General features: G+C 40.8%; 1 protein-coding gene across 4 annotated transcripts in view, besides 2 other annotated features; it reads left to right on the top strand.

Annotated features, from left to right (window-relative positions):
- SAR1B (secretion associated Ras related GTPase 1B) overlaps positions 1-26,544 on the top strand; it is a 31,680-nt gene extending 5,136 nt beyond the window's left edge. For 3 of the 4 annotated variants that reach the window (NM_016103.4, NM_001033503.3, XM_047417257.1), the window contains 6 exons: positions 3,656-3,731; positions 6,641-6,760; positions 14,937-15,002; positions 18,019-18,122; positions 19,190-19,321; positions 20,627-26,544. In NM_016103.4, the coding sequence (NP_057187.1) occupies positions 3,674-3,731; positions 6,641-6,760; positions 14,937-15,002; positions 18,019-18,122; positions 19,190-19,321; positions 20,627-20,743 (597 nt within the window). In that variant the 5' untranslated portion in view covers positions 3,656-3,673 and the 3' untranslated portion in view covers positions 20,744-26,544. Of the gene's footprint in view, positions 1-3,655; positions 3,732-6,640; positions 6,761-14,660; positions 14,680-14,936; positions 15,003-18,018; positions 18,123-19,189; positions 19,322-20,626 lie in introns of those variants that run through there. The other variant, XM_047417258.1, reaches the window with a different exon arrangement.
- Positions 1,099-1,243: an enhancer, noted in NCBI's record as "145 bp enhancer 267 fragment used in the MPRA reporter construct; PK_construct_1619". NCBI's record gives its function as "activates an SV40 promoter by MPRA in HepG2 cells {active_cell/tissue: HepG2}" and the evidence as "EXISTENCE:reporter gene assay evidence [ECO:0000049][PMID:23512712]".
- Positions 1,164-1,177: a transcriptional cis regulatory region, noted in NCBI's record as "HNF4 motif; enhancer activity is reduced when this motif is scrambled". NCBI's record gives its function as "necessary for full MPRA enhancer 267 activity {active_cell/tissue: HepG2}" and the evidence as "EXISTENCE:site-directed mutagenesis evidence [ECO:0005528][PMID:23512712]".

Genomic DNA, 26,963 nt, shown 5'->3' with positions numbered 1-26,963 from the left:
CGAGCAGCTGGGACTACAGGCGTCCACTACCACGCCCGGCTAATTTTTCTGTATTTTTGGTAGAGACGGGGTTTCACCGTGTTAGTCAGGATGGTCTCGATCTCCTGACCTCGTGATCCGCCCGCCTCGGCCTCCCAAAGTGCTGGGATTACAGGCGTGAGCCACCACGCCCGGCCGGTTTTAAAAAGTAAATGAGCCAGGCATAGTGGCCTATGCCTGTAGCCCCCAGGTACTCAGGAGGTTGAGGTGGGAGGATTGCTTGAGTCCCCGAGATTGAGGTTGCAGTGAGCAGAGACGGCGCTCCCTGGGTGAGAGGGAGACTCTGTCAAAAAAATAAAAAGTGGCGGGGCGCGGTGGCTCACGCCTGTAATCCCAACACTTTGGGAGGCCAAGGAGGGCGGATTACGAGGTCAGGAGATCGAGACCATCCTGGCTAACATGGTGAAACCCCGTCGCTACTAAAAATATAAAAAATTAGCCAGGCGTGGTGGCAGGCTCCTGTAGTCCCAGCTACTCGGGAGGCTGAGGCAGGAGAATGGCGTGAACCTGGGAGGTGGAGCTTACAGTGAGAGGAGATCGCGCCAGTGCACTCCATCCTGGGCGACAGGCGAGACTCTGTCTCAAAAAAAAAAGTAAATGGTTTTGTGTAATTACTCATGTAAATCAGTTTTAAATATTAAATGCCATATAAGCTTTTTAAAATTTGCTTTTAAAATTTTTCTATAATAGCTTTTTTGAGATATAGTTGATATACCATAAAATCGACCTTTTAAAATTGTACATTAAGTGTTTTTAGTATAGTCACATTGTTGTGTAAACATCACCACTATCTAATTCCAGAACATGTGATCATCCCAAGAAGAAACCCAGTACCCATTAGCAATCATTCCCCATTTTTCCTTCCTTCAGTCTGACAACCACTAATATACTTACTCTATGGATTTATCTATCCAGGATATTTCATTTAAATGAGCCATCCATGTAGTTTAATGGAACAAGGCTTTAAGAAGTTACTTGTAATCTGAGATTCTGTTCCATTACATCCTTTGCACTGGTTTTCATGTTACTTGAGTAGATCACTTTTCTAATCTGCAGAGAGACTTTTCCTGTTTGGTATTGGTGCAATAAATAAATCTGCTGACGTGTGTATGTTTCCTTGTTCTTGACCTTTGCTCTTCACATGTCTTAATAGTGTGTTCATGGTGTTGTGTAACCTGTTTTCTGGGCTCAGGTATCTGTTTGCAGCTAAGTAACTTTTATTCTTAGTTGGGCATTTTTACTTCTACTTAAAATAACAATAAAAAAACAGTTAATTCTGTTTCTAATTACTCCTAGTTTGTTTTAAGGTTCCTAGAAACCACATTTTTTTTTTTTTTTTTTTTTTTTTTTTTTTTGAGGCAGAGTCTTGCTCTGTGGCCCAGGCTGTGGTGCAGTGGCTCGATCTCGGCTCAGTGCAACCTCTGCCTCCTGGGTTCAAGTGATTCCCCTGCCTCAGCCTCCTGGGTAGCTGGGATTACAGGTGTGCACCACCACACCCAGCTAATTTTTGTATTTTTAGTAGAGATGGGGTTTTGCCACGTTGGCCAGGCTGATCTTGAACTCCTGACCTCAGGTGATCCACCCGCCTCAGCCTCCCAAAGTCCTGGGATTACAGGTGTGAGCCATTGTGCCTGGCTGAAACCACAATTTTAAAGAAATATATATATTATTATCTTCCAAAGCAGAGTTTGTGTCTTCTTAGATTATCTCTCTTGGGACAAATTTTACAACAGCAAATTGGTACCATCCTTATGCAAAAAATCCTTTTTCTGTCAAGGCTTTTCACCATTCTTTAGCTCTCACCTACCAACAATCATCTTCAGTGAGGACTTTGCCACTTGATTCACAGTCTGTATCAGTGCCCTCCAGTCTTCCAGGTGATTACACTGCCTGTCAATGTGGACAGTGTACCCTCTAGCCTGGCTTCCAGTATCTGTCACCTCCATTTTTCTTTATCGTCCATGCCAGAGCCAGGCCTTGGAGTTTGCCACCACCCAACCCTGAACTTCTCTTGAATTCTTGAACCCCCTATATTCTCTTCCACTTTGCTGGCACAATTCTGGCACTCCTTTCACCTCTCTCACCCTTTTCTGTTTTTGGCTTAGAGACTTTTTCTACCCTATTTTCCCAATTCTGTTCTGTTGAGAAGCCTGCCTTTGATCACCGCTCCATCTCTGTATACTACCTTTCTTTACCTTTGTCCACTCAACTTGAACTTCTGATCAGATCCCTACAGCCCTCTCACTAGTACTCTCAAAATCCTGTTCCCCTTGTCCTTTTTCATTTCTATTCTGGATGTTCCTAATCTCTAGTCACTCCATGTTGAGCACTGCTGGTGGAGGGTGGAAGGTTGGAAATCAGCACAGATTGGCACTGCTGTGAATGTTTGAGTTTCAATTCCAACTGAGTCCTTGGCTTTTTTTGGCAGTCTTTTAACTTGATTCATTCCCCATAGTAGCTATTGTAATGCTTGCTCTGCTCCTCAAAAATTCTCTATACCCTTTCACTTTTGGAGTCAGATTCCCACCACCTCCACAAATTTTCTGGCCATCTTTCCTCCTAATCTTAGACAAGAGACATAGGCTGTCAGTCCAAGCTCCTCTTGGGACTTTGTCCCTTTTGGTTAATTCCTTTCTTCCCTATTACTTCTTCCATCCCACTATCTCCTTCTCTTTAGTTTATCATCATACTCAAGCCTCACCCTTTTTGAGAAGGAAATTTCACTTCCAGGCCTGGGGTGGCTCACGCCTGTAATCCCAGCACTTTTGGAGGCTGAGGCAGGCGAATCACTTGAGGTCAGGAGTTGGAGACCAGCCTGGCCAATACGGTGAAGCCCAGTCTCTACTAAAAATATAAAAATTAGTCAGGCATGGCAGTGCCTGCCTGTAATCCCAGCTACTCGAGAGGCTGAGGCAGAAGGATCGCTTGAACCTGGGAGGAGAAGCTTTCAGTGAGCTGAGATCGAGCCATTGCACTCTAGCCTGGGCGACAGAGCAAGACTCTGTCTCAAAAAAAAAAAAAAAAAAAACTCACTTCCCTTATCCCATTTCCAACATTTTTTTAAACGATTTTAGTTTTTTACCATTTGAAATTTTTTGAAATAGGAATCTCTCCTCACTGCCTCACCTATTAACCTCTTATCCCATTTACTGTCACCCTGGCTGGAGTGCAGTGGTGCGATCTCGGTTCATTACAATCTCTACCTCCGAGGCTCAAGCAATCGTCCCACCTCAGCCTCCTGAGTAGCTGGTACTGCAGGTGTGCACCACCATGCAGGAGTACAGTGGCACAATCTCCACTCACTGCAACCTCCACTTCTTGGGTTCAAGTAATTCTCCTGCCTCAGCCTCCTGAGTAGCTGGGATTACAGGGGCCCATGACCACACCCGGTTAATTTCTGTATTTTTAGTAGAGTTGGGGTTTCACCATGTTGGCCAGGCTGGTCTCAAACTTCTGACCTCAGATGATCCACCCACCTCAGCTTCCCAAAGTGTGTAACTCTTTGTAGTAAAGTTGCTGTAGGATTATCTACTCAGAGTTGGTGTTTAACAGTATTGGAGTTTAATGTATATTGGTGTTTAATGTTGACTACTAAATTCAAACTCTTTTTTTTCAGACCCTATCAGATTTGGATATGTCCTTCATATTTGATTGGATTTACAGTGGTTTCAGCAGTGTGCTACAGTTTTTAGGTAATGTTGGTCCTTTGTTCTCTACAGTTATCCCCTTTGGTCTTATTTATTTAATAGTGCTTATCTGTGTCAAGTCTCTTTATAGATAAGCCAGTAGTAAAGAATAGTTAAGAATATGGGCTTTGAAATCATACATAGATGTTCAATTACTCATTGTATCCCTTTTAAATTAAGTAATCTTTGGCAAATTACTTTTTTCACCTTAGCCTGAGTTTTCTTATCTGTAAAATGGCAGTAATAATTCCTACCTCTTAAGGTGTTGGGAATATTACTAACAGAACTATCTACCATTTATTAGCTAGTTTACCTATATGCTTTAATGCTTTATGTCATTTAATCCTTACAGGATTATTATTAAAATGCATGTTCCATAAAGTAGCTTGTACACCATAAATAGCAGTTTTTAATAAGCCAAATGAGACTTCTTTACCCAGCAGTTCTTTTTTTTTTTTTTTTTAATTTTATAGAGACGGAGTCTTGCTATGTTGCCCAGGCTGGTGTTTTGTTTGTTTGTTTGTTTCTGAGATGGAGTCTCGCTCTGTCGCCCAGGCTGGAGTGCAGTGGCGTGATCTCAGCTCACTGCAAACTCCACCTCCCAGGTTCAAGCGATTCTCCTGCCTCAACCTCCCGAGTAGCTGGTACTACAGGTGTGTGCCACCACACCAGCTAATTTTTGTATTTTTTGTAAAGATGGGGCTTTGCCATGTTGGCCAGGCTGGTCTTAAACTCCTGAGCTCGAGTGATCTGCCCACCTCAGCCTCCCAAAGTGCTAGGATTACAGGCATGAACCACTGTGCCCAGCCTTGCTACAGTTTTTTCTTTTTCTTTTTTTTTTTTTTTGAGACAGAGTCTCACTCTGTTGCCCAGGTTGGAGCGCAGTGGTGCGATCTCAGCTCACTGCAACCTTCGCCTCCTGGTTCAAGCAATTCTCCTGCCTCAGCCTCCCGAGTATCTGGGATTACAGGCATATACTATCATGCCTGGCTAATTTTTTGTATTTTTAGTAGAGATGGGGTTTCACCGTGTTGGCCAATCTGGTCTCGAACTCCTGACCTCAAATGTTCCACCTGCCTTGGACTCCCAAAGTGCTAGGATTACAGGCGTGAGCCACTGTGCCCGGCCTCCTTGCTACAGTTTCTAGGTAATATTGGTCCTTTGTTCTCTATAGTTATCTCCTTTAATTTTATTTATATAATAGTGCTTATTTGTGTTGAGCCTCTTTATATATGAAGCAATAGTTAAGAATAGTTAAGGCCGGGCGCGGTGGCTCACGCCTGTAATCCCAGCACTTTTGGAGGCCGAGGCAGGCAGATCATGAGGTCAGGAGATCAAGACCATCCTGGCTAACACGGTGAAACCCCGTCTCTACTAAAAATACAAAAAATTAGACAGGCATGGTGGCACGCGCCTGTAGTCCCAGCTACTTGGGAGGCTGAGGCAGGAGAATCGCTTGAACCCAGGAGGCGGAGGTTGTAGTGAGCCGAGATCATGCCATTGCACTCCATCCTGGGTGACAGAGCGAGACTCCGTCTCAAAAAAAAAAAAAAAAAAGAATATGGGCTTTGTAATTATACAAATATGTTCAATTACTCGATTGAACAAATATGTTCAATTACTTTTAAATTATGTAATCTTGGGCAAATTACTTTTTCGTGACACTCATAGTAGTGACAGTCATAGAAGTAGATTCCTTAATGATAAAATATATATATAGTTCTGCCCCCAAAACTAAAAGATTAGGACATCAAACAATTTACTTCTTAGACTTAAGCATGGACAAAGGAGTAAGTGTTATTTTAGTATGAATCTATTCAAAAACGGATGGCCTGAAACTATAATTGCCTAATGTCTTTAAAAGTTTGTTTATTTCAGTCAGGTGTGGTGGCTCACATGTAATTTTGTGGAGGTTAGACCATTAAACATGTAAAAAATAAAGTTTGGCTGGGCGTGTGGCTCACGCTGATAATCCCAGCACCTTGGGAGGGCAAGGTGGGCAGATCACTTGAGGCCAGCCTGGCCAACATGGTGAAACCCCATCTCTACCAAAAAATACAAAAATTAGTCAGGCGTGGTGGTGCACACCAGTAGTCTCAGCTACTCAGGAGGCTGAGGTGGGAGGATCACTTGAGCCCAGGAAGTTGAGGCTGCAGCAAGCTGTAATCATGCCACAGCACTCCAGCCTGGGCAACAGAGTAAGACACTGTCTCTAAATAAATCAATTAATTAAGTTCAATATGAAATTTAGCAGTTCAATTCCAGTCTATTATAAATTGGTCAATGCTGCCTTTTTTCTATTTATCAATTTATCTATCAATCAATACCTGATTGATACTTCTAAAATTAATCAGCATTTTGGCATTGTAGATATGTTAAGGCAAAACACATATTCTATTGACTGGGTTGAAGTTTGGTTTTATAATTATCTGAAGTCCCAAATCATGAATAGATTTATTTATTTATTTATTTATTTATTTATTTATTTATTTTTTGAGACAGAGTCTCACTTTGTCGCCCAGGCTGGAGTACAATGGCATGATCTCAGCTCACCACCGCAACTTCTGCTTCCTGGGTTCCAGTGATTCTCCTGCCTCAGCTTCCCAAGTAGCTGGGATTACAGGCATGCGCCACCACACCTGGCTAATTTTTGTATTTTCAGTAGAGACGGGGTTTCACCGTGTTGGCCAGGCTGGTGTCAAACTCCTTACCTCAGGTGATCCGCCCACCTCGGCCTCCCAAAGTGCTGGGACTACAGGTGTGAGCCACCGTGCCCGGCCATGAATAGATTTAAAATAGCTTTTTTAAAACTGAAAATAGGTTTAGAACTTCAAGCTTAATTGGGCCAAATTTAAATTCATTTGGATAATTAGTATCAGATATCACTTTGACCAATCATAGCTCTTGCTTTGCAGGATTATATAAGAAAACTGGTAAACTGGTATTTCTTGGATTGGATAATGCAGGAAAAACAACATTGCTACACATGCTAAAAGATGACAGACTTGGACAACATGTCCCAACATTACATCCCAGTAAGTATATTCCTACATACAATGTGATACTTGATCAAATGATGCTGAGTCATATGCACTAACCAAAAGTGTTTTGTTTCAGACAGGGTCTTTCTCTGTTGCCCAGGCTGCAATGCAGTGGTATGATCACAGTTCACTGCAACCTCTGTCTCCTGGGCTTAAGCCATCCTCCCGTCTCCCAAGTAGCTGGGACCACAGGCATGTGCCACCATGCCCAGTTAATTTTTATATTTTTTCAGAGACCAGGTTTCGATATGTTTCCCAGGGTGGTCTTGAACTCCTGAGCTCAAGTGATCAGCCTCTCTCAGCCTCCGAAAGTATTGGGATTACAGGCGTGAGCCACTGCACCTGGCCAAGTTTTTTGTTTGGGGGGCATTTTCTGGTAGATAAATTATGATCAGGTGATTTGACCTGTTCCTAAAATAATAAATTATAGGTGACCTCGCTCCCAGGGAGAATATTTAGATCTTGAATTAGTACTCATACCTTTTTATCAGCTAGTACTCCCTTCTCTAGCTTGAGGAATTAAAAAGTTTTTGTCTGAGGGATTGTGACATGATTGGTAAATAGTCCACCATCGCCTTGTTTACATAACCTGAATTTTTTCTTTCAGATTTTTTTTTTTTTGAGGTGGAGTCTCACTCTGTCGCCCAGGCTGGAGTGCAGTGGCACGACCTCCGCTCACTGTAAGCTCCACCTCCCGGGTTCACGCCATTCTCCTGCCTCAGCCTCCCGAGTAGCTGGGACTACAGGCACCCACCACCACGCCCGGCTAATTTTTTGTATTTTCGGTAGAGACGGGGTTTCTCCGTGTTAGCCAGGATGGTCTTGATCTCCTGACCTTGTGATCCGCCTTCCTCGGCCTCCCAAAGTGCTGGGATTACAGGTGTGAGCCACCGCGCCCAGGCTTCTTTCAGATTTTAAAGCCATATTACTTTATTTTATTTGTGTAGAGACAGGGTCTTGCTCTGTCATGTAGGTTGGAGTGCCGTGGTATGATCATAGCGCACCATTTAAACTCCCAGGTGCAAGTGATCCTCCTGCCTCTGCCTCCCAAAGTGTTGGGATTAAAGATAGGAGCCATTGCACCATGTACTATTTTAAGCACTAATTCAGTAGATACATTACAATTTTATACATGGCTGGTAACTCAATTTGTTAACCAGTTATTTTTCTAGTCTTAATAACCTCAACAATATCTAATGTACACCACAGAATTAATCTAAAGAAAACAAGGCATATATTGACACACAGGAAGTTTTAAAACAAGGGTGGGTGTGGTGGCTCATGTCTGTAATCCCAGCACTTTGGGAGGCTGAGGCAGGAGAATCACTTGAGCCCAGGAGTTTAAGACCAGCCTGGGCAACATACTGAGACTCCATCTCTACAAAAACAAAAACAAAAAATTAGTCTGGCATGGTGGCATACACCTGTAGTCCTAGGTACTTGGGAGGCTGAGGCAGGAGGATCACTTGACCCTAGGTGTTCAAGGCTTCACTGAGCTATGATTGCACCACTGCACTCCTAACCTGGGCAACAGAGTGAGACCCTGTCTCTAAAGAAACAAAAAATACCAAAAAAATTGAAAGTTTTTTTTTTTTTGAGATGGAGTCTTGCTCTGTTGCCCACGCTGGAGAGCAATGGCACGATCTCGGCTCACTGCAACCTCTGCCTTCTGAGTTCAAGCAATTCTCCTGCCTCAGCCTCCCAAGTAGCTCAGATTACAGGCATGTGCTACCACACCCAGCTAATGTTTTGTATTTTTAGTAGAGACGGGGTTTCAACATGTTGGCCAGGCTGGTCTCAAACTCCCGACCTCAGATGATCCGCCCACCTCAGTCTCCCAAAGTGCTGGGATTACAGGCATGAGCCACCACACTTGGCCAAAAATAATGTTTTTTAATAATGACTCTAATTTTTTTTTTTTCCTTTTTTGAGACAGAGTCTCACTCTGTTGCCTAGGCTGAAGTGCAGTGGCACCATCTCGGCTCCCTGCAACCTCTGCCTCCTGGGCTCAAGCAATTCTCCTGCCTCAGCCACTGGAATAGCTGGGATTACAGGCATGTGCTACCAAGCCCAGCTAATTTTTGTATTTTTAGTAGAGACCAGGTTTCGCCATGTTGGCCAGGCTGGTCTCGAACTCCTGGCCACAAGTGATCCACCTGCCTTGGCCTCCCAAAGTGTTGGGATTACAGGCGTGAGCCACCACACTTGGCTGACTCTGTAAATTATTTAATAAATTTTATTTTGCATTTAAGGTTATGTAACGAATTTGAGAATAAAGTTAATGTTAAAGTGGGTAAATTATTAGAAACAGAAACCTAATTTAACCTGTGACCTTACTTTTACAGGTGAAAATTTTATGAATCAGATAGACACAGAGTTTAAAGACAAGTTAATCTATAGATTAATTATGAAATAGTAAGTGTAGCCTTAATAATGAATATAAAATTGAGAACTGGACCAAAAAGTAGATAATACTGTAATTATTTAGTCCAGTAAATGTTCAAAGAACAAAGAATGAGGATAGAACAAAACAAAGTATTTTATCTATAAAACAATTAGTGAGGTTGGAAAAGGAAATTGACAAATCTTTTTTTTCTTTTTATTTTTTTTGAGATGGAGTCTCGCTCTGTCACCCAGGCTGGAGTGCAGTGGCACGATCTCGACTCACTGCAACCTCCGCCTCCCAAGTTCACACCATTCTCCTGCCTCAGCTTCCCGAGTAGCTGGAACTACAGGTGCCCGCCACCACGCCTGGCTAATTTTTTGTATTTTTAGTAGAGACAGGGTTTCACTGTGTTAGCCAGGATGGTCTCGATCTCCTGACCTCGTGATCTGCCCGCTTCGGCCTCCCAAAGTGCTGGGATTACAGGCGTCAGCCACTGCGCCCGGCCAACAAATCTTTTTTTTATATTAGGAGAAAAAAGTGGGGCTTGGCAAGTAAGATTCTGATATAAGAACAATTCTGTTAAAGAAAAAATGATCATGGTGAAATTGAGTAGATAAAATTGTCTGCAAAAACAGCGTAATTTCCAACCTGGCCAACATCGTGAAACCCGTTCTGTACTAAAAATACAAAAATTAGCCGGACACGGTGGCACGTGCCTGTAATTCCACCTACTCGGGAGGCAGAGACAGGAGAATTGCTTGAACCCGGGAGGCGGAGGTTGCAGTGAGCCAAGATGGCGCCACTGCATTCCAGCCTGGGCGACAGAGGGAGACTCTGTCTCGAAAAAAACAAAAAACACAGAAAAAAAACCCAACAAAAACCAGCATAACTGGAAGAGACTACAGAGTGGTCTTAAATATTAGGTGTAAGTCATTTTTTAATTTTTTGACGTTGCTCTATTTCATTTATTCAAATATTTATTGAGCACCTACTTTATGTCAGACATTGTTCTGGATACTAGGGGAAAACAGATGCTATCTCAACCTTTCCTGCAGCTCACATTCATTTCAACTCATATTTTTTAATTAATCAAAAGCATATGTGATCTATTCTGGTGTGGAAAAGAAAACATTTTTGAAAAGGAAAAAAAAGCATATGTGAAAACCTACATATATCCTATGATCTGGCAGTTCTACTCCTAGTTACTTACCCGAGAGAAATGAGAAAATACATTTACCAAAAACCTTGTACAAAAATGTTTATACTAGCTTTATTTGTTGGTGGTGAGTTATTATTATTTTTTTTTTTTGAGTCAGTGTCTCACTCTGTGGCCCAGGCTGGAGTGCAATGGCACAATCGCGGCTCACTGCAGCCTCAACCTCCCAGGTTCAAGTGTTCCTCCCACCTCAGTCTCCCAAGTAGCTCGAACTACAGGCACATGCTACCACATCTGGCTAATTTTTTAATTTATTTGTAGAGATAGGGTTTCACCATGTTGCTTAGGCTGGTCTTGAACTCCTGGGCTCAAGCGATCCTCCCATCCAGCCTCCCAAAGTGCTGGGATTACAAGTGTGAGCCACCATACCCAGCCTATACTAATTTTATTTGTAATAGCCAAAAACTGGAAACACCTCAAATGTCCATCAAAAAGGAAATTGATAAATAATGGAATGCTACTTAGCAAGAAAGATGAATAAACCACTGATACATTCAGTCATATTATGCTACATGGCAGAAGCTGGTCATAAAAAGTTATCTACTGTATGATACCATTTATATGAAATTCTAGAACAGACAAAACTAACCTGTGGTGATAGAATTCAGATCAGTGGTTGCTTCCGGAGATGAAAATGGGGATTGACTGGGAAGGGGCTAGAGGAGACTTTCTGGGATGTTAACAGTGTTCTGTATCTTAAATAGCCTAATTCAGACTTCTTTTATAAAGCAGAAAGTATATTGGGGATTATTACCATAGAGGTGGTTTGCTAACTAAGCATTATCTTTTCCTTATGAACAGTGACTTTGAATATAGATTGTATTAAATATTTTATTCATTTGGCAATCTACACATAGAATTTCTTTCTTTCTTTTTTTTTTTTTTTTGAGACAAAGTCTCGCTCTTGTCCCCCAGGCTGGAGTGCAATGGTATGATCTCAGCTCACTGCAACCTCCACCTCCCGGGTTCAAGCGATTCTCTTGCCTCAGCCTCTCGAGTAGCTGGGATTACAGGAGCCTACCACCACTCCCGGCTAATTTTTGTATTTTTAGTAGAGACGGGATTTCACCATGTTTGCCAGGATGGTCTCGAACTCCTCACCTCAGGTGATCCGCCCCCCTCGGCCTTCCAAAGTGCTGGGATTACAGGCATGAGCCACCGTGTGCCCTGCCCTTTTTTTTTTTTTTTTTTTTCCGAGATGGAGTCTCGCTCTGTTGCCCAGGCTGGAGTGCAGTGGCCAGTCTCGGCTCACTGCAACCTCCGCCTGCCACATTCTCCTGTCTCAGCTTCCCTAGTAGCTAGGATTACAGGCATCTGCCACCACGCCTGGCTAATTTTTGTATTTTTAGTAGAGACGGGGTTTCACCACATTGGCCAGGCTGGTCTCAGAACTCCTGATGTCTCAAGTGATCCACCCGCCTCGGCCTCCCGAAGTGCTGGGATTAGAGGCATGAGCCACTGCACCTGGCCTACATACAGAATTTCTTTATTTATTATTGTTATTTTTTGAGACGGAGTCTTGCTCTGTCGCCCAGGCTAGAGTGCAGTGGTGCAATCTCGGCTCACTGCAAGCTCCGCCTCCCGCGTTCATGCCATTCTCCTGCCTCAGCCTCCTGAGTAGCTGGGACTACAGGCGCCTGCCACCACGCCCAGCTAATTTTTTGTATTTTTTTAGTAGAGACGGGGTTTCACCGTGTTAGCCAGGATGGTCTCGATCTCCTGACCTCGTGACCCACCCGCCTCAGCCTCCCAAAGTGCTGGGATTACAGGCGTGAGCCACCGCCCCCGGCCCAGAATTTCTTCTTATTTTCAGACAGAATCTCTCTCTGTTGCCCAGGCTGGAGTGCAATGGCGCAATCTCGGCTCACTGCAACCTCCGCCTCCTGGGTTCAAGTGATTCTCCTGCCTCAGCCTCCTGAGTAGCTGGGATTACAGGCACCTGCCACCATGCCTGGGTAATTTTTTTTTTTTTTTTTTGAGATGGAGTCTCGCTCTGTTCCCCAGGCTGGAGTGCAGTGGGGCAATCTCGGCTCATTGCAACCTCTGCCGCCAGGGTTCAAGCGATTCTCCTGCCTCAGCCTCCCTGGTAGCTGGGATTTCAGGCACCTGCCGCTGCACCCAGCTAATTTTTTGTATTTTTAGTAGAGACGGGGTTTCACCTCGTTAGCCAGGATGGTCTCGATCTCCTGACCTCGTGATCTGCCCATCTCGGCCTCCCAAAGTGCTGGGATTACAGGCGTGAGCCACCGCGCCCGGCCCCCAGAATTTCTTAAGAAGATAAAAACTCTGGGCTAAAGTAGCTACACTAAAACTTATGTTGTCATTATGGGGCACTTGTGCTTTTGGCCATAAGTGAGTACTGGTTCTGGAATTACCCTCCCACTGTACACAACTAGAAAACCGGACAAAAAAAGATGCTACAACTGTTTTCAGACATTGGGCAACAGCTACCACAGGACTGTGATTCCTGAGAGAAAGGAAACAACTCTATTTTGGTTTTATGCCAAGAGGTAATTTTCAGACCATGGTGCAAAGAGAGGACACCCAAACATAGTCCAATAGTCTTGCTGAGTTGAGGAGATGTAGACCAGAATTTGGAAAGGCCAACAGGACTAGAATTTTTTTGCTAGGACAGAGAGGAGGGAGTACCGGAGAGGAGGGACCTCTGGAGAGAAAGGACTCTAGAAATTTACATAGCTGAATACCAATCTGTGCATGCAATGGGTAAAGCTCCAAAAGGCTAGTCAAAGAACAATTGTAAGAATGCTGTTAGCCAAATAATTACTAGAGCTCTCATGGGGCCAGGAATTGTTGTTTAATCCCATTTAGCCTTCTAACAAATGTTAAAAACTGATCTGTAAGCAAGTGAACTGTCAGAACAAAATTCAACCTTCTTCAAAAGACTACAACAAAATCCAGCACTCAATATGAAATTACTAGACATGCAAAGAAACAGGAAAGTGATTCAGTCAGTAGAAACAGACACAAGTGTGACAAAGATGATGGAATTAGCAGATTAAGACATAAGACAATCGTTATGAATGTGCTCAGGGATTTAAAGGAAAACACAAACATGAGGAAAGAAATGGAAGATATAACACAGAATCAAATGAAACTTCTAGAAATGAAAAATACAGTATTTGAAATGAAAATTTCTTTTTTTTCTTTCTTTCTTTTTTTTAATAGAGACAGGGTCTCCCTGGGTTGCCCAGGCTGGTCTCGAACTCCTGGGCTCAAGTGATTCTCCCACCTTGGCCTCCCAAAGTCTGGGCTTACAGGTGTGAGCTACCATGCCCAGCCTGAAATGGAAATTTCACTGGATAGGATTAATAGTAAATTAGATAGTGCCAGTACTGCAGAAAGAAAGACCACTAAACTTAACTCAATGCAACAGAAACTCCAGAATGAAGCACAGAGAGAAAAGTGACTGAAAGCAAAATAAACAGAGCCTCAATGACTGGTGAGACAACATCAGGCAGTCTAACAAACCTGCAACTGAAGTCCCAGAAGTGGAAGGGAGGAGAAAGAAAGATAGTTATGGAAATAATGGCCACAATTTTTTATGGTAATTGTTTTTGTAATTAAAGACTGTCTTATGTCAGCCATAAGAGAAAATTATTTCACCTGTATCATTTAAGATGAATTATATGAACAATTATTAGATTGGAGCAGTTATTTGAATTCATAGCAAATAATTGTCTGAAGAGATTAACATTTTCAGCAGGAAGAATAGAGAAGGAAAAATAAATGTTGGATTTGTGGTGAGTAGAATACTAGAACTGAATATTACAATTATTTGTTATATTGTCAGTATGAATTGGTGTATATCTAATTACAAAAAAGTATTATTGTACCAGTTTGTAAATGTTTGATTTGACCTTATTTGCAATAAAAGTAAATCAAACATTAAGTAGTAAATATAAGCTATTGTTAGAAATGCTTGTTCCCTGGTGCTGTAAAGGATAGCACTTGAACATAAATTTAATTTCCTCAGCAAGGCCATTTTTACTTTCTGCAGAAAGGGTACACTTGCCAGCAGTTTTGCCACAAGAGTACACCGAACAAAGGAGACAGGGTCATTTATAATCTGATGCGTCCACCCTACTGCTGTGTCCGGTTTCCATTGGCTGGAATGGGACCTCACATTCTGTATTTGTCCTGATTGGCTAGCAACTTAGAACTTTTTAAAAGAGGCAAAGGCAGAGGAGAACAAAGGAAGGAGGAAGTAACTTGTGGAATGCTGAGAAAGGTAAAAACACCTTCAAATAAGGAAGAGGAACAGGCTATGACCTAATGCTTGCTTGGACCAGTGTAAGTATGCCAGGGCAAATATTTAGGCTAAATTGTGGGAGCTAAGAACATAAAGTACATTGATTTCTTTATTACGGCTGGCAGATATTTAAGAATGTTAGCACGGGTCTTTGAATCAATTTTGCTTCTAAGAGAAGTTACTATTTATTCTTAATTAGATGGGGAGGAAAGTCTTTGAAAAGGAACCTCTACTTTACTTTTTACACGATTAATGGGTTTCTAATTTTCATGTAAAAATATTTTAAAATCTTATTTAGCTTCCGAAGAACTGACCATTGCTGGCATGACGTTTACAACTTTTGATCTGGGTGGACATGTTCAAGGTAAGATTCTTTTTTTTTTTTTTTTTTTTTTTTTTTTTTTTTTTTTTTTAGACAGGCTCACTCTGTCTCCCAGGCTGGAGTGCAGTGGTGCAATCTCAGCTCACTGCAACCTCTGCCTCCTGGGTTCAAGCAATCCTCATGCCTCAGCCTCCCCAATAGCTGGGATTACAGGCATGTGCCACCGCGCCCAGCTGATTTTTGTATTCTTAGTAGAGATGGGATTTCGCCACGTTCAAGGTAAGATTCTCTTACTCTTACAGTCACTTTGTTTTATTTTAACTTAACAAAAATGTGGCCATTAGTTCTAGTGCATGAAATCTCATTCTAGTCACGCAAGGCCAGAGTAGATTTAAAATTTAGGGATTATTACTCCCCGATAAATACTTTAAAAGCAAAGGGTGATTTTCATGATACTTCTGGCCAATTCAAATGAGAATTGCTTTTGGTGGTAAAGTGTATGAGTAAAATTAACTTCCATTCTCTCTACTTCAATCTACCTCTCACTGTCATAATCATGTTTTGAACATGTTACTGCTCTGTAAAACAAAAACAAAACAAAACAAAACAAAAAAACCTTCAGTGGCTAACTCATTACTTACAAAATAAAGGCCAAACTCATTAACCTGGCATTCAGGATCTCTATGATCTGGTCCCAGTTTACTTTTCTGGGCTTTTAAAAATTATCTTATAGAGACAGGGTCTCACTCACTATGTTGCCCAGGCTTGTCTCCAACTCCTGGGCTCAAGCAATCCTCTCATCTCAGTCTCCCAAAAGTTGGGATTATAGGTGTGAGCCACCACATCTGGCCTACTTTTCTTTTATTTCCCTCTATTCCCCTTCCCGTTCTTTTTGCTTCAACCAAATCAGACCTTCTTGGTGTTTTCCTCTGTGCTTTTGTTCATGCCATCCCCATCCGCACATGAGTAACCCCTTTAGGCCCCAGCGTATGCCCTGCTACCTCCCTTGGGAAGCCATTCTCAGTTGGAGTGCTCTCAGCTATACTTCATAGCACTTAGTATATTTGTGTACATGTCTACAACAAGTTTGGAAAGACTGCCTTATCTCTTATATTAAACTTGCGGGGACTAAAATCCTGTTTTTTGTTTTGTTTTAATTAAAAAAAATTTTTTTTGTAGAGATGGGGTCTCACAATCTTGCCCAGGCTGATTTTGAAGTCCTGGCCTCAAGCAATCCTCCTACCTCAATTTCCCAAAGTGCTGGGATTACAGGTGTGAGCCACCACACCTGGCCTGTTCATTTTTTATATCCCCAAAAGTACTTGGCAACATCTACCTCATAGTAAGTCATAACTAACCAATATTACCGAATTGGTGGGCATTCTAAAAACCTGATGCGACATATAGTTGAAAAGATTGTAAATGGTTCTGGCTAGTGAAAGCACATTTGAGACATGTAATTGTCTGGCATATACACAAAATAATTTCTGGAATACGATGATTAGAATTGGAATCTAATGGAATTTGTCTGAGACTTCATTTCTATGTTGTTTCAAGATATGTCATAATGGCTGGGTGTGGGGTCTCAGGCCTATAATCCCAGTGCTTTGAGAGGCTGAGGTTGGGAGGATCACTTGAAGCCAGGAGTTCAAGACCAGCCTTGCAACATAGCAAGACCCTGTCTCTACACAGAATTTAACAATTAATGGGGCATAGTGATAGACACTGATAGTCCTACCTACTCAGGAGGCTGAGATGGGACTATGACTTGAGCTCAAGAGTCTGAGGTTGCAGTGAACTAGCCTGGATGACAGAGCAAGACCCTGTCTCTTTAAAAAAAAAAAAAAAAGGTATGTCATAAAACTCAAGTCAGTGAAGAAAGTTATGTTATGGAAAAAATTACTCTTATGATTTCATAGACTTCAGTTAATTATTAACATTTGAGCTTCTTTTCTGAGTAAAACAATTTTGTTTTGGTTTTTTTTTAATTATTTTTTTTGAAACAGAGTCTGGTTCTGTCTCCCAGGCTGGAGTGCAGTGGCATGATCTTGGCTTACTGCAGCCTCTGCCTCCTGGGCTCCATCCTCCCACCTCAGCCTCCCAAGTAGCTGGGCAGGCACACACCACCACACTTTCTAATTTTTTTTTTTTTTTTTTTTTTTTTTTGAGACGGAGTCTCTCTCTGTCACCCAGGCTGGAGTGCAGTGGCATGATCTCGGCTCACTGCCACCTCCACCTCCCGGGTTCAGGTGATTCTCCAAGCCTGGCTAATTTTTGTATTTTTAGTAGAGACACAGGGTTTCACTATGTTGGCCAGGTTGGTCTCCAACTCCTGACCTCAGGTGATCCACCTGCCTCAGCCTCCCAAAGTGCTGGGATTACAGGCATGAGCCACTGTGTCCGGCTTGGCTAATTTTTTGTGTTTTTTTGTAGAGATGAGGTTTCACTATGTTGTCCAGGCTGGTCTTGAACTCCTGAGCTCAAGCAATCCACCTGCCTTGGCCTTCCAAAGTGCTGGGATTACAAGTGTGAGCCACCACACCCGGCCTTATTATTTTAACAAGCTTGTACCTGATATTAATTTCCTTCTGTCACTCATTCCAAATTTATCACTGGCAAAAAAAATCTGATAACTAGAAATGTCAAAAAATGAACACTGCATATATATGTAATATAAATACACACATTTTATGTATATATAATCACATATATGTAGTTTTTTTACTGCTTATATTTTAGATCTAGTAGCAGTCCTCCAATGAACTTAACGTGTATTTTTTTTTATTTTTATTTTTATTTTAAATATTCTACTCCTTACATATGATAATTGGAAGAGACTAAAGTATTTGACTTGCCCACAGTCAAGGAAAGCCTGAAATTCCCTCTTAGTTATTCTCAGAAGAATTTGGCACCACTGGGTAAAAGATTAACTTGAATATATTGTGAAGTACCAGCAGCTAAGGGATTACCGCACTTGATATCTGGTTGGACTCTTTGCTTAAACCATCTGCTGGGTTTGACCAACAAGTAAACTCTAACCCCTGATTGTTTTTGTTAGCTCGAAGAGTGTGGAAAAACTACCTTCCTGCTATCAATGGCATTGTATTTCTGGTGGATTGTGCAGACCACGAAAGGCTGTTAGAGTCAAAAGAAGAACTTGATGTAAGTTAAATAACTGAAACTAAATATAGTCAAATCACTCTGGTAAGCCTGCAGAAGTAGGTCAGAGATACAGGTATCAGAGTGCAGCTTTTCTGCAGTCTCTGATGAAACTCTTGGCAATTTGTTGAGCTCAGTGATTGCTTTAAGTAGTGATTACTTAGAATGCAGAGGGAGTAACTGAGTAATTGTAGCTATTGAGGAAGTACTAACACAGACATCTTTTATGAAGACTTAAGAAGCTCACCCTGTACAGAATGTACCCTTTTAGTATATTTCATGTCTGTTATATTCCTGGAGTGGGTTGATCTTGAGTCCCTGGTCATGCTAAGATGCTATATCTTAAGCCACAGCCTGGAAATGATAGGACATGCCATCTTTGACACTACTCCCAGGAGTGAGCAGAGGCATATGTAGCTACCTCCCCTCCAGTATCCCAGGTCAGATATTTTGTAAAGGGGCCCAACAGCAGCAGGCAAGGTCAGCACCAGATCTGGGGCCACAGAGTAAGCAGGTCCATGATTTGATTGAAGGTTGATCATACCATGGCTCTGCCCAGAGCAGGCAAACAAATACTTGTACGTGTGGAAAAGTCCAGGTAGGTTCTATGGTTACAAAACAAGGACAGAGAATGCCTGAGTTCCTACTTTGTTCCAGAGACTGTGCGTATTACTTGATTTAATTCTCAATTTCATAGGGTGGATGCTACTGTTCCTAATTCTCTCTAGAGCTTCAGTCAGGCTAACTTGCCCAAAGTCACATCTCAAAAGCAGTAGAGCCAGAAGTGAAACCACATCTGTTCACTTCTAAGGTGCTGGCTCTATACGTTCTATGTCACTCCTTTAAAGGATGAGCAGAGTAAACATTTACAGGAAGAGCCTTAGGAAGACAGAAGAATTTAGCTTATGGTTTCATTGAGGTCACTTTAAAATGTGGGGAAAGTTTGACAAAGAACGTTGGTATGACATGATATGGTAGAAAATGAGTCCTTTATTGTTTTATCATATCAAAATAAGCTCTTTGGATGGTTTCATATCAACTCTTGTTTTGTATTGTTTTGTTTTTTTCAGTCACTAATGACAGATGAAACCATTGCTAATGTGCCTATACTGATTCTTGGGAATAAGATCGACAGACCTGAAGCCATCAGTGAAGAGAGGTTGCGAGAGATGTTTGGTTTATATGGTCAGACAACAGGAAAGGTAAAAAAAAAAAAAAAATTATGATGGGTGTGTTTAATTCTACAGTACAAATGTCTTCTTAAATTACTATTGTCCAACTATACAAGCCCATTATCATTTTCTTAAAGAAAACTGTCATTTATACCTGTGGGTCTTTTTAATGTCCTCATTTCTTTCTACCATGGAATGAAACATTTTCTTGGTGACAACAAAAATGTCAAGGATGAGTTATGCCTAAGGCTTGTGCTTATAGGAAACTAAATTAAAGCTTTCAAAGTTATTTATCATACATTTTCAGAATTAGCCACCAAACGATATATTTGAGTGTTTAAGTATACCAGTAGTGTGTTTAGGCCCTGAGTTTACCAGAGATAAATAAGACATAAACTTGGAATATTTTACGGTTTTCTGAACATATACTTTATAATAAGCTTTAAGACGGATTGTTTTGGTATTCACTTTTCCTAGGATTTATTTTGGGGGAAACATCAGCATTGAAAAAATCCAGATAAACAGTGGAAGAACCCCAGAGATTTACAAAATTTTTTTAGTTTACATATACTATTTCAGGGTGGAGAAATACTGCAGCATATAGCAGGAGGCTCTTTTTTTTTTTTTTTGAGATGGAGTTTTGCTCTTGTTGCCCAGGCTGGAGTACAATGGTGCAATCTCGGCTCATTGCAACCTCTGCCTCCCAGGTTCAAGCGATTCTCCTGCCTCAGCCTCCCTGGTAGCTGGGATTACAGGCGTGTGCCAGCACGCCCAGCTAATTTTGTATTTTTGGTAGAGACGGGGTTTCTCCATGTTGGTCAGTCTGGTCTCGAACTCCTGACCTCAGGTGATCCGCCCGCCTTGGCCTCCCAGAGTGCTGAGATTACAGGCATGAGCCACCACGCCCGGTCCGCAGGAGGCTCTTAAGTCAGACAAAGTAGACTTTGGTCTGTTTTCTGTCTTCTTTTTTATAAATTAGCTTGATATTAATTTTAGGAAATGCTTTGTTTGGTCATAAACCTTCTCAGGGAATGTTTGTCTTTAATATTAGTGAAGCCAGTTTGGATTTTTTTCTAAGTCAGATTATTTTTATTCTTGGGTATCTTGCAAGCTAACCTCTTTCCCACTGAGTGGCCATCCTGCCCTAAGGTAGAGTGAGAGAAGGAGGCTTCTTGTGTGTTCATGGGGCTTGGATGCCAAGCAGCCACGACTTTATCACAGTCATGGATTTATCACAGCCATTCTTTGTTCTAAAATAGAACCTATAATTCTGCTGGGATGTGGGGCTTTATTAATTTTATAAAATTCCAACGAAATGTCTCTCTTCTATTCTAGGGGAGTATATCTCTGAAAGAACTGAATGCCCGACCCTTAGAAGTTTTCATGTGTAGTGTGCTCAAAAGACAAGGTTACGGAGAAGGCTTCCGCTGGATGGCACAGTACATTGATTAACACAAACTCACATTGGTTCCAGGTCTCAACGTTCAGGCTTACTCAGAGATTTGATTGCTCAACATGCATAACTTGAATTCAATAGACTTTTGCTGGTTATAAAACAGATGTTTTTTAGATTATTAATATTAAATCAACTTAATTTGAATGAGAATTGAAAACTGATTCAAGTAAGTTTGAGTATCACAATGTTAGCTTTCTAATTCCATAAAAGTACTTGGTTTTTACAGTTTATAATCTGACATCACCCCAGCGCCATTTGTAAAGAGCAACTTTCCAGCAGTACATTTGAAGCACTTTTTAACAACATGAAACTATAAACCATATTTAAAAGCTCATCATGTTAAATTTTTTATGTACTTTTCTGGAACTAGTTTTTAAATTTTAGATTATATGTCCACCTATCTTAAGTGTACAGTTAATAATTAGCTTATTCAATGATTGCATGATGCCTTACAGTTTTCAATAACTTTTTTTCTTATGCAAACGTCATGCAATAAAACAAACTCTAATGTTTGGCATCCTTGTTGGGCAAATGTTTCATTTAAATGTGTCTTATCTAGCTAGTATACTCTGAAAATTTGAGTATTTAATATTAGGCATATGAAGTGGTTGTTGGGAAAGGAGATTCCTTCAGAATATTTAGAATAGCGTTTAAGGCTCTCAAGGCTTAGGTATTTACCATGAGATGGTTGTGGTCAGTTGCACCTGATACCATGTATCCCTGAATCATGTGTATTTTTATTAGTAATGCAGCCACTACCATTGCTGATGGGGTCTGTGTCCTAGTCCCTGTGGGATTGGCCTTCTGAAGAAAAGCACATTTATGGTACACAAGGTTGATTCTCAGTTTGGTAGGCTCTATAGTTCCATCCCAGCTGTCTAATTCTGAAGTGCTCCAGTCTTATTGGTGCCCAATGGGGTAATCTGTGCCTCTTCCCCAAAAGCAATGACAGGCACCAGTGTCTCCACATTTAGATATATTCCCAGTCTCTGTACATTTAACAGTACTCTCTGGGGCAAGCAATAAGTAGGACCTTGTGTGCAGTTTCATTGTAGAGACATGTATATCTGAGGAATAAAACAGCTTGTTCTGTGTCAGTCTGAGATATGTGGAGATTTTGTTCCTATCCTATAGCTCTTTTGTATTCTTTGGCATATTTTATATCCTGGTAGAAGAAAACAAGTGCTTGTTTCCAATTTTCTTTTTTCTTATTTGCTCTCAGGTAGTTCTTACTCCATACAACAAAGACTTTTTGTTTGTTGGGCTTTTTTTTTTTTTTTTTTTTTGCTCTGTTTCATTTTGTTTTAGAGACGGGGTTTCACCATGTTGTCCAGGCTGGTCTCAAACTCCTGACCTCAAGTGATCTGCCCGCCTTGGCCTCCCAAAGTTCTGGGATTATAGGCGTGAGCTACCATGCCTGACCTGACTTTTGTTTTTAGATATTATGCTTGCCATGTGATAGGGCCTGCAAGCCTCATTGCTAGGCTTACTAAGAAAATTTTAGTTTTTCAAAAGCATTATAATTTCCTAAGAAACTGAATTCTTTTTTTATATGTTTGAGATTCCCATCATTAGTAATATAAGATGAAAGGTAAGTGCCAAAAATGTATTTTTAAAGACCCTCAAGTTTAAGATTTATCCTGATTATAAGCCAAGTTTTATAGTATATTTAACCAATTCCATCAAGAATAATTTTAATATCAAAAATTAGTGTTTTCTGTAGCCATTGTCCATGTCAGAGTTACAGTCCTTTTTGTCATTGATAATATAACCTATGAAGCAGATAAGGATTGAGGAATATGACTGGAAGGAATTACTATTTAGCTAAGCTGACAAGGTCGCTTCTTAAGATGACATTTGGTTTCAGTAATCTGACTATTCTGTTTTCACTTTCATCTTCTTTCTAAATGAAAACAAAAGTGCTCCCTCCCTTCCTGGAAACCTCAGTAACACTATGGGAAAAGTAGAACATGACATTGCAGCCTATTGATTTCTTCTTCCAGATAGGTTTAAAGTACTCCTTAAGTTCTGACTAAATAGAACTAAGCCTTATTAAAAATAACTGCCTCTTGTTCATGTTATCTGTACCTTCAGGGACCTGCCTTTCTTCAAGTATTTCCTAGAGTATCTATTATGATACTGAAGAAGCTAATTATTTGTGTTGTAAATGGGTATAAATGAAAAAAAAACATACTGGTTTCTCTAGCCAGGAAAAATGCTTTCTGGTGTAATATATCTTGCTCCAGAACCCTCATTCTAATTGTAACACTAGGATCAAAGAAACAAAGTCACTTTGTGGACCACAGCTAAACTGTGGATATTTTCCCAAAGACATAAGATTTTTATGGCCCGAGCCTCTAGAAAGGAAGCCATGTTTAGGAGCAACCAGCTTTCCTCCCAGCTTTAGGGGGCAGAGTTCCTGAGCCAGAGGACTTACTGTCCAGCTTTGAGAACCTCTCCAGAGTATATGCACTGGGTACTGCTCTTTTTCAAGAGAACCAAATTAAGAGGATGGCAAGAAACAGTAGAAGCACAGAGGAAAGACAACTCTGCATGTGCCTGTGTGAATGTGTGCATCCATGGAGTATTTCCCAGGTAAATACTAGTACTGGGGACATAGGCTAATTGTGTGTCCCACACTGCAAGATGCTAGGGCGTAGTTAACACTGTGGTATACATACAAATCAGGCACTGTCCAAAAGATTTTTTAAAATCTAAAGTCTGAAATGTAAAAATATAAGGTCTCAACCCACTTTTACACTTTTAAAGAGATCCCATACCTGTTTCACTGACTGCCGTTAATTACACTTTTGGATCACAGCTGGTTAAATTGATAGATTTCAGTTTATCTCAGTGAATTTTTAGAATGGAGATTATAGCATTTTTTAATTGGAGAACAGACATTTCCTAAAGTATATGAAAAAAAATTATTCACTGTTGGTTTAAACCAGTATCTTTGTATGAGTGCCAAAGATATATGAACACAGATACTGCCTGTGCAGACCTAAATTTTAGTTTTGTGTACCTGGATCCATATACAAATTTTTTGTGGTTTATAGCATAAAAGCAGAACGTTGTTTCTTTCTTAGTTTTCAACCGGCTCATCTTTTGTTTTTGTTTTTTGTTTTTTTGTTTTTTGTTTTTTTTGAGATGGAGTCTTGCTTTGTTGCCCAGGCTAGAGTGCAGTGGCACAATCTCTGCTTACTGCAACCTCCACCTCCGGGGTTCAAGTGATTCTCCTGCCTCAGCCTCCTGAGTAGCTGGGACTACAGGCGCGCACCACCATGCCCGGCTAATTTTTGTATTTTTAGTAGAGATGGGGTTTCACTATGTTGGCCAGGCTGGTCTCGAACTCCTGACCTCGTGATCTGCCCACCTCAGCCTCCCAAAGTGCTGGGATTACAGGCGTGAGCCGCCATGCCCGGCCAATTTTCAACTGGCCCATACTTTATAGTGATGGAAAGCGCATAAACTACTTGTAAATCATTAAAATAGGGTGATAACTGTGATAATAGTGTTTCTTGCATTCTAGAAAATTATTTTATTAACTACATTCAAAACCCAGCATTTCACAGGTTCCATCATTAGAAACAGTATAGTTCTAGTTAACATGATTGGAGAGTTTCAGGGGAAAGGTTTACATTTTCTGAAACTGTATTTGGTATGTGACTCAATGTGGTATTTCAGTCTTGTTAGTCACTTACATGACTGACGTTTGCAAGGATTTATTGCCAAGTAAAATTTGACCAGAGTGCACTGAGAATAGCTACATAAGGGGAAATCTCTCAAAATTCCTTCTGTTCATTTAATTTGGAGCATATTGTTTAAATCATTTTAAACATATGTAAAAAGTTGAAGCATTAAAAAATCTTCAAGAAACAATGAAAAAATAGAAATTAGCAAACATAAGTTTCTTAATGCAAAATTAATAGTGAATAAAATATAGCCTACATTAAAAGCCAGAGGCTTTGCTATAAATATAAGAGTTTAGAAAAACAGTGTGCTTCAATTAAGGACTAAATTATCAAAACTGCATGTTTGTTTTTTCTTTTCTTTTCTTTTTTTTTTGAGATGAAGTCTCACTCTGTTGCCCAGGCTGGAGTGCAGTGGTGCGATCTTGGCTCACTGCAACCTCTGCTTCCCAGGTTCAAGCGATTCTCGTGCCTCACCATCCCGAGTAGCTGGGATTACAGGTGCACCACACCATGCCCAGTTAATTTTTGTATTTTTAGTAGAGACAGGGTTTCATTATTTGGCCAGGCTGGTCTCGAGCTCCTGATCTTAAGTGATCCACTCGCCTCGGCCTCCCAAAGTGCTGGGATTATACACATGAGCCACTGTGCCCAGCCTAAAACTACATGTTGAAGCTTCCGGTCATTTCCATTATTATCCTTCTTTTGAAATTCAAGTTAGTGCTTTTTAACCAAATAAAAGAAGAACCAGCTCTTGGGATATGTGACTCTGCCTCTGTATAAAGTGACTGGAATTTTGTTAAAACCGTGTTTCCACTTCTGAACCCTGTTACCATTCCCCCTCACAAATCCCCACCCAACACCTGGATTTTAAAGATCCTCCAGTGTCAAGGGAAGCCACAGAGTCTATTAAAGAGGCAGTTCTGAACCAATTAATTTTTGTCCTTATAATTTAGAGCATTAAATAGCTAATATATTTAATGGCACTAATTGTTGTTCACGGCTTTCATCATACTTTTAAACAGAATCCAAAGTATTCAAAGGAAAGTAAGCGAAGTTATCCAAAGCCAACTTTGTTTCAGGTGTGTCCCCTGCCCCAAATAGATTTTAGGGCAGAAATAGAAAACTGAGTTTACACAGAACTATTTTTGGAAAAGCTGCACTGGAGTAGATGGATTCTTCTTCAGCATACTTTTTTGTTTGTTTGTTTGAGATGGAGTCTTGCTTTGTCACCCAGGCTGGAGTGCAGTGGTGTGATCTCCACTCACTGCAACCTCCACCTCCCAGCTTCAAGTGATTCTCCTGCCTCAACCTTCCAAGTAGCTTGGATTACAGGCGTGCGCCACCACAGCTGGCTAATATTTGTATTGTTAGTAGAGACAGGGTTTCACCATGTTGTCCAGGCTTGTCGAACTTCTGACCTCACGTGATCCACCTGCCTCAGCCTCCCAAAGTGCTAGATTATAGGCGTGAACCACTGCGCCCGGCCAGCATGCATTTTAAAAGTGGCTTAGATTTAGTTTTAAATATTTTGGGGTGAAAGGCAGGAACAGTTCTGTTTTTGACATACAGGTTTTCTTTGGGATTGTTTTCATTTTCAAGTATAGATTCATGTCAGAATGGCCAACTTAACGTGGGTTTCTGTATTCCCTGGTGTTGCTCTTAACCTGAACTCATAATCAGTTGCCATACTGAGGCAAGAGCACTCAGGGTGAACATAGTCAAGTTACTTTAAAAGTGATAAAAGTGTTTTTCCATGGTGAAACCTTCAGTATTTGGCTGAATGTAAAGTATGTTGAAGTGGTATATTGATGGTAAGTTGTTAATCACTAACCTTGTTTGCACTTTTGTACACCACTGCTTGCACTAGGATCTTGGTGTGAATTTTCAATTGTTTTACAGTGTATACAGATTATTAAGGATAATTTATATAAAGATGTTTCTGTTTAACTTTGTGTGTTTTACAACAAAGAGCTATAATAGATGGTTAAACGTTTTTGAATTGTGTTTATATGTTAGTTTGATTATGTTCTATTATCTTTTCACCTGCCATGAATTTGAGTGTTAGGAAGGGAAAAATAAAATACTAATCTGGTCTTGAAGAACTCTAGTGTCAAGTTCCATTTTTATTATTCAACCATAATTTTCATTTTGTTTGTTAGAAATTTCTTGGACTTTGAAAATTGCAAAGATTGTAGAACTTTTTCTTAGTGCAAGGATTCTAAGGTACCTTTGCTCAAGTACCAAGGCCTAATTTGCATGGTAAAACTGAAAACAACTTATGGACAAACTGAAGTAGTACACAATGTCGACTCAGTTGAAATGTGAAAAATAAGACAACCATTTTATCTATATTAAGTTTCTCTAGTATGCACAGAATCTCCTGGAGAGCTTTAAAACACACACACACACACACACACACACACACGCTTAAAAAAATTCCTACCAGAGATTGTGATTCACTAGATCTGGGGGTGGAAGTGGGAGGCAGGAATCTGACTCTTTAACAAGCCTCTCAGTTTTT

This window comes from Homo sapiens, chromosome 5, assembly GCF_000001405.40.
Source record: "Homo sapiens chromosome 5, GRCh38.p14 Primary Assembly".
In the NCBI taxonomy this organism is placed as follows: Eukaryota; Metazoa; Chordata; class Mammalia; order Primates; family Hominidae; genus Homo; species Homo sapiens.
Note: the sequence above shows the minus strand (reverse complement) of the source record. Positions and strands in the feature narration are given on the sequence as shown.